The sequence below is a fragment of the Homo sapiens genome, chromosome 2, assembly GCF_000001405.40.
Source record: "Homo sapiens chromosome 2, GRCh38.p14 Primary Assembly".
In the NCBI taxonomy this organism is placed as follows: domain Eukaryota; kingdom Metazoa; phylum Chordata; class Mammalia; order Primates; family Hominidae; genus Homo; species Homo sapiens.
In genome coordinates, this window is record NC_000002.12 from 87736105 (window position 1) to 87742104 (window position 6000).

At 39.6% G+C, this 6000-nt stretch overlaps 1 long non-coding RNA gene and 1 pseudogene across 2 annotated transcripts in view; both read left to right on the plus strand.

Moving 5' to 3' along the window:
* NCAL1 (NK cell activity associated lncRNA 1) overlaps window positions 1-1749 on the plus strand; it is a 282375-nt gene extending 280626 nt beyond the window's left edge. Inside the window, exon 15 of the long non-coding RNA NR_186253.1 lies at window positions 1614-1749. This is a non-coding gene — a long non-coding RNA (NK cell activity associated lncRNA 1). The remainder of the gene's footprint in view (window positions 1-1613) is intronic.
* ANAPC1P4 (ANAPC1 pseudogene 4) overlaps window positions 1-3145 on the plus strand; it is a 38267-nt pseudogene extending 35122 nt beyond the window's left edge. Inside the window, exons 13-15 of the transcript NR_160651.1 lie at window positions 1614-1748; window positions 1919-2001; window positions 2913-3145. The product of NR_160651.1 is annotated as an ANAPC1 pseudogene 4 (transcript). The remainder of the gene's footprint in view (window positions 1-1613; window positions 1749-1918; window positions 2002-2912) is intronic.
* The last annotated feature ends 2855 nt before the right edge of the window (window positions 3146-6000 follow it).

The following is a 6000-nucleotide window of genomic DNA, read 5'->3' on the forward strand; positions in this document are numbered from 1 at the left end:
CCTTAAGAGTCTATAGTAGCTGCTTGAAACAAACCCTAACCCCCTTTTGCCATAGTGATGTTCACTGTGTATCCCAGAATGTTGTCCCAGTAGCATCTTCCTTGTGACAAAATGCAGTATCAGATTGACCCATCTTTAACTCCATCCAAGAGATGTGTACAGAATTACCAGAAATGTTTCATTAAATGATTGTTTCACTTGAAATGTGGTTCCCCTTGAAAAACCACCAATACATTCTTATGGTCAAACTAAATGATATAAAGAAAGTTATAAGGCCGAGGTGATCGGATCACCTGAGATCAGGGGTTCGAGACCAACCTGACCAACATGGAGAAACCCCATCTCTACTAAAAATACAGAATTAGCCAGGTGTGGTGGCGCATGCCTGTAATCCCAGCTACTCGGGAGGCTGAGGCAGGACAATCGCTTGAACCCAGGAGGCAGAGGTTGTGATGAATCAAGATCACACCATTGCACTCCAGCCTGGGCAACAAGAGTGAGACTCCATCTTAAAAAAAAAAGTTATAGTGGAAGGAATTTTTTCTCATGTGTGTTCTGAAAATCCACCTCGTGGTTGACCATCTGTTAGGGCCTTGAATTCACATTGGCACGTGAGCTAAAGAGGCTGGTGGTATAATGGAAAATAATCAGCTGGGTGTGGTGGCTCATGCCTGTAATCCCAGCACTTTGGGAGGCCGAGATGGGTGGATCACGAGGTCAGGAGATCCAGACCATCCTGTCTAACACGGTGAAACCCCGTCTCTACTAAAAATACAAAAAAATTAGCCAGGCATGGTGGTGGGCGCTTGTAGTTCCAGCTACTCGGGAGGCTGAGGCAGGAGAATGGTGTGAACCCAGGAGGCGGAGCTTGCAGAGAGTCGAGATCGTGCCACTGCACTCCAGCCTGGGCAAGAAGGCGAGACTCCGTCTCAAAAAAAAAAAAAAAAGAAAAGAATCACACAGGGAATTGCAACTTGAATTCTGGTCCTAACTAGTGAGTCAAGTCATTTAACTACATTATTGTCTATTGCTTAATCAGCTTCATGGATTGTTGAACCAGATGGCCGTGTTTTATATATAGCCCTGCAACTTACTATAATAGCTGTATAACCTTGGGCTTAATCCCTCTTTGCCACACTTTCCTTATTTATAAAATAGGGTTTTAATAGTAGCTATTTGATATGGCTGTTCATTCATGTTAAACACACAGAATAGTGCCTGACACAGAGCATGCATTTAATAAATTACTATTATTATCATAGTTATTGTTGGAAAAGTTCTTAAGTACAATAATGAAAGTATTCAGATATTTACAGTTCAGGTTTCAATTATATAACTAATATTTTTCTTTATTGTTAAATGTAACTAACTCTAAAGCTCTTATGTATTTTAAGACAGTACTTAAAGTTGAACATTCATGTATTAAAACTTTTATGAGAATTATTAATATTTATTAACTCATGATTAATGTTTGCTTTAAGTTGGAAATAAAAAAAACAAAACCCGAAATAACCTGCTTTGAAGTTAGTTCATTTTTATATTTGTTATGGGTATGTGTTATGGATCTTCCTCCATAAAATTTCTTTTCACTCGTCTGTTATTGTCTTTTCCAGCATGGCAGCAATTTGATAGGTATGTCTGATCTCAATGTGCCTGAGCAGCTCTATCAGTACATGGTTGGAGGACATAGGCGCTTTCAAACAGGAATGCATAGGGAGAAACATAAATCACCAAGTTATCAAATCAAAGTAAGTACACAGCAAAGTAATAGATCAAAAGTCTGGAAGCTGGGAAGTTAATTGGAAAATACTAGTGTTCATCCTGACATTGGTAAATATGTTAATTTTAAGCATACTTATCAGAGGAATTTTATAAAAATTTAGAACTCTTTTACATGCATAAACTCTTCTTTCAATAGGAAGGAGATACCATAAATGTGGATGTGACTTGTCCAGGTGCTACTCTAGCTTTGGCTATGATCTACTTAAAAACCAATAACAGGTATTTCTACCCACTCACCCTTCCTCCCACGGTGATAGTGTGATATCCTCTCTGACCTTGGTTGTAAAATTCAGTTATCTCATGTGTTTCTTTCCCCTGTGCTGGATTAAGCTGATTTTCGTTCTTTCAAGTACTGTAAGTTTTTGAAAGAAAACTGGCAGTATTTGAAGTTATAAAGATTTTACCTAGAAATAATGTATTTGGCTATTTTAATTGTATTTGACAATATAGTTTTCAATTTCTGTTCATTTCTGTTTTGTAGTTGATGTCAGTAACACCCAAACAATGCCCATGTTTGTTTTCATTAATTTAGCATATTGCTGTGAGGACTGGTTAAGCCAGAAATACTTATCATTAGTGTGATCTTGGCTACCATGTAAAACAATGGTTTTTGCCTACTTCAAGAGCTTTTGTAATTACCAAACCGTCTACCTTCCTAACTTGCTATATTAATGCTGATGCTTGAAAGTAAGATCTTTGGCATTTATGCTTACACGTTGCATGAAGAGTAAGTTGAGTACAACATGTTATGCCATGTATTAAGTCTATTAATTAAAAACAAATTCTAAGATTCAAGGAGCTTTTCAGTGTTCCACATTTCTCCCTTTAGAAAAAGTAAATGTGTGCAGAATTAACAAAGTGTTTAAAAATAGATATTTATTATTTTACTATTTGGATGAATGTGTAGGGCAGTGCTTCCTTGGCACTGGGGATATTTCATTGAGCAAAACTAAAAATATCTTCCCTCATGGAGTTTATGTTATAGTAAGACATACGTGTACCTCTATAATAACTATTACGTTAGAAGGTATAAAGTATTGTGAAAAATATATAGAGCAGTAGTGGAGTGGGAAGAAATGTTTTGAAATAGAGCTTGAGATTCTTGATTGTCTTGCCCTCTACTTGAACAGTGTCTTCTAGGAAGCCCAGACACATGGAGAAGTTCTGAGTGTTTTGGCCGATAGTCCCAGATGAGGTTCCAGCAACAGCTGGGATCACCCATGAGATGTGAGTGAGGAAGGCTTTGAGATGGTTTCAGCCCTAGCCACCACTGACCTCATAAGAGACCACAAGAATGAGAATCACCTGGCCAAGCCCAGCAGACCTTCAGAATTCAGAAATAAAATAATTCATCTTATTTTAAGCCACTGTGTTTTGGTTTGATTCATCCCATAGCAAAAGGCAACTTCAGCAGGCCCTTTCTGAGGCTCTGGAGGGGCCCTGGCAATGTATCCATTTGGTCATTTGCTTTTGACAAAAGCAGACATTTTAGCTGTAATTGGCTAAAATTCTGATCTCTTTCTGCCCTCATGTTGGGTGGTGGTGGAGTGGATGTGGGCATTTTGAGGATCCAGCAAAAGAAGAATTGAGTTGAGTCATTGAGTTTGGGTTCCATGGGATTTATTTATGTGGTATGGAGTCATTTCTGTGTATTTTATTGCTAGCTGTCCCTGTGTAAAACAGATTCAGAATAGTCTTCACCTCCCTCGTGCTGATTTACCTGGTGGTGTAATGTAAATATGCAAGACCATAGATTACATCACGATTGTGTCACATGACATGTGCATTTGCAGGAACATGGATGGAGCTGGAGGCCATTATTCTCAGCAAACTAACACAAGAACAGAAAACCAAATATCGCATGTTCTCACTTATAAGTGGGAGCTAAATGATGAGAACACATGGACACATCGAGGGGAACAACACACACTGGGGCCCATCAGGGTTGGAGGATGGGAAGAGAGACAGCATCAGGAAAAATAACTAATGAGTACTAGGCTTAATACCTGGGTGATGAAATAATCTGCACAACAAACCCCCATGACACATGTTTACCTATGTAACAACCCTGCACTTTTATCCCTGAACTTAAAATAAAAGTTGAATAAGAAAAATAGAAATGTACAAAGCTAGAAAAGAGTGTAGCTCATCCCATCTGGGAATTATTCCAAATCTTACAGTTCATACATAAAAATAGTTTGATAAAGATTTTCCTAAGTGTGCCAAGAATCCTGAAAACTTATCTTCCATTATCGATCCTGAGCTATGAAGCCAGAAGAAAAATTTAAATCTATCAATAATAAAATACTAGAGCCAAAATAGTTTATTATTCTCTTCTCTCATAGACTATGATATTACAACATTATTGAAGAGGCAATCAAAGAATATGCAGGCAAAAATGTTGGGAAAGGAGTATTACAGAGATAGGTCAGGAATTTGTTTAATTAAAATTGCTATTTTACTGAGTTTTACATATGTTTAGTGGTAGCGGTAGCTAGAGTAGACTTTGCTGGAGTCTGGGCCATTGAGATTGGTATTATTAAGGTTATGTTGGCCTCATTTGCTCTTACCTTCTGGCATACACAGGATACATCTCACTTGATTTCTCACAAGTCTTTGGTACCCATGACCACTCCCACCTTTTTACAATTTTCACTTTTGCTGGCTTCTCTGGACTCACACTGTCAATTTTCCCCTCTGGCTAACTGTTCTCAGTCATCTCTACAGAATTCTCTTCTTCTGGGTCCTTGTGTTGTTGAGGGCTTTATCCTAGGGCTTATTTTTTTCTCTCTGAGCAAGCTTGTCCACCCCCATTGCTTCAGTCCCACCTATCTGCTGACAACTGCTGATTCCACATCTCCAGCTCAGACCTCTTTCCTAGGCTCTACACCAGGAATTGGCAAACTTTTTCTGTAAAGCGATGATAACAAATATTTTATCGGCTTGCTGGTCATTGTACTGTCTCTGTCACATCTGCTCAACTCTGCTAAGGTGGTGCAAATATAGCCACAGAAAATAGTAAAAGAATGGGTGTGGCCATGTTCCAATAAAACTTGATTTATAAAAATAAGCCTGCTTCATGGGCTATAGTTTGCCAACTCCTGTTCTAAACCAGAATATTCAACTCCCTTCTGGAAATTTCCACTTGGGTTTTCTCAAGTTCCTAAACATAACATTGTCCCCAGCCAATTTCATCTTATTCCCTCCTATGCATTCCTTCTTAATGAATGATCCACTGTCCACCAGATGTCCAAGCCAGAAATTCAGGCAGCATACTTGATTTCATTCCCCACATTCAATGAGTCACAAAATCATGTCAATTCTACTTTCTCAACATCCCCCTAATCCATTCTTTTTTCTCTTTCTCCACTGCCTTCTTTCACCCCCTCTCATCTCTCACCTCCTATGACCTCCTCACTGTGCTGCAATCAGAGGGATCAAGCCACCCTTGGATTTTAAAAGCCTTCAGTAACAGTAGTCCCTGCCTTTCTTTGGCTGAAGTCTAAACTTCTTGAAACAGAGTGAGAAGCCTGCGCAATTGGACCATTTCCCCATGTTAGCCAAATTCCTCTCATCTGTCTGCTCCTCCTGCCTCTGGGACCCTGCACATATATTTCTTCTGCTTAAAGAATGTGTAGCAGGTGAAGCAACTATCTGAGGCCAGTATACCATGGGCAGTAAGAAGAATTTACCAAGACAGTTGTAGATAAAGGCAGATTTATTGAAGAAAGTATGAAAATATGTTGCAAGGCAGCAACAGGCAGGCCAGCAAGAGAGGAACTGAATGCCAAGAGACAAAGGCTTGCTGGGGGTTTTATAGGATGTTGCTTTTGCTGCGTGCTGAAGAGAGCTTTGTGCAGTACTGATAACACCAAGGTTGCAGTGGGATAACCTGCATTTTTCCATCAGCTGAGGGCCTGATGGTAGCTGGGCACAGGAAGATTGTGAGCTATTTGTGCAGGAGGGCTATGGTCCTGGACCATGAAGAAAGGCAAACTTACAGCTTATCTGCTTTCTCTTTCTTTTTTCCTCAGTGTCACCAGCCTGATTCCTTTTGCCTAATTAGGACTCCACAGAATTATTCTCCTTTCTCATCCTTCCAGCTGTCTTCTAAGTCTCAACTTGGATGTTACTTCCTCTGGGAAATGTCTCCTCACCTCTCAAGACTGTCTCTCTGTGCACCACTACAACAAATGGGACCTGGGCCACTTCACTTTT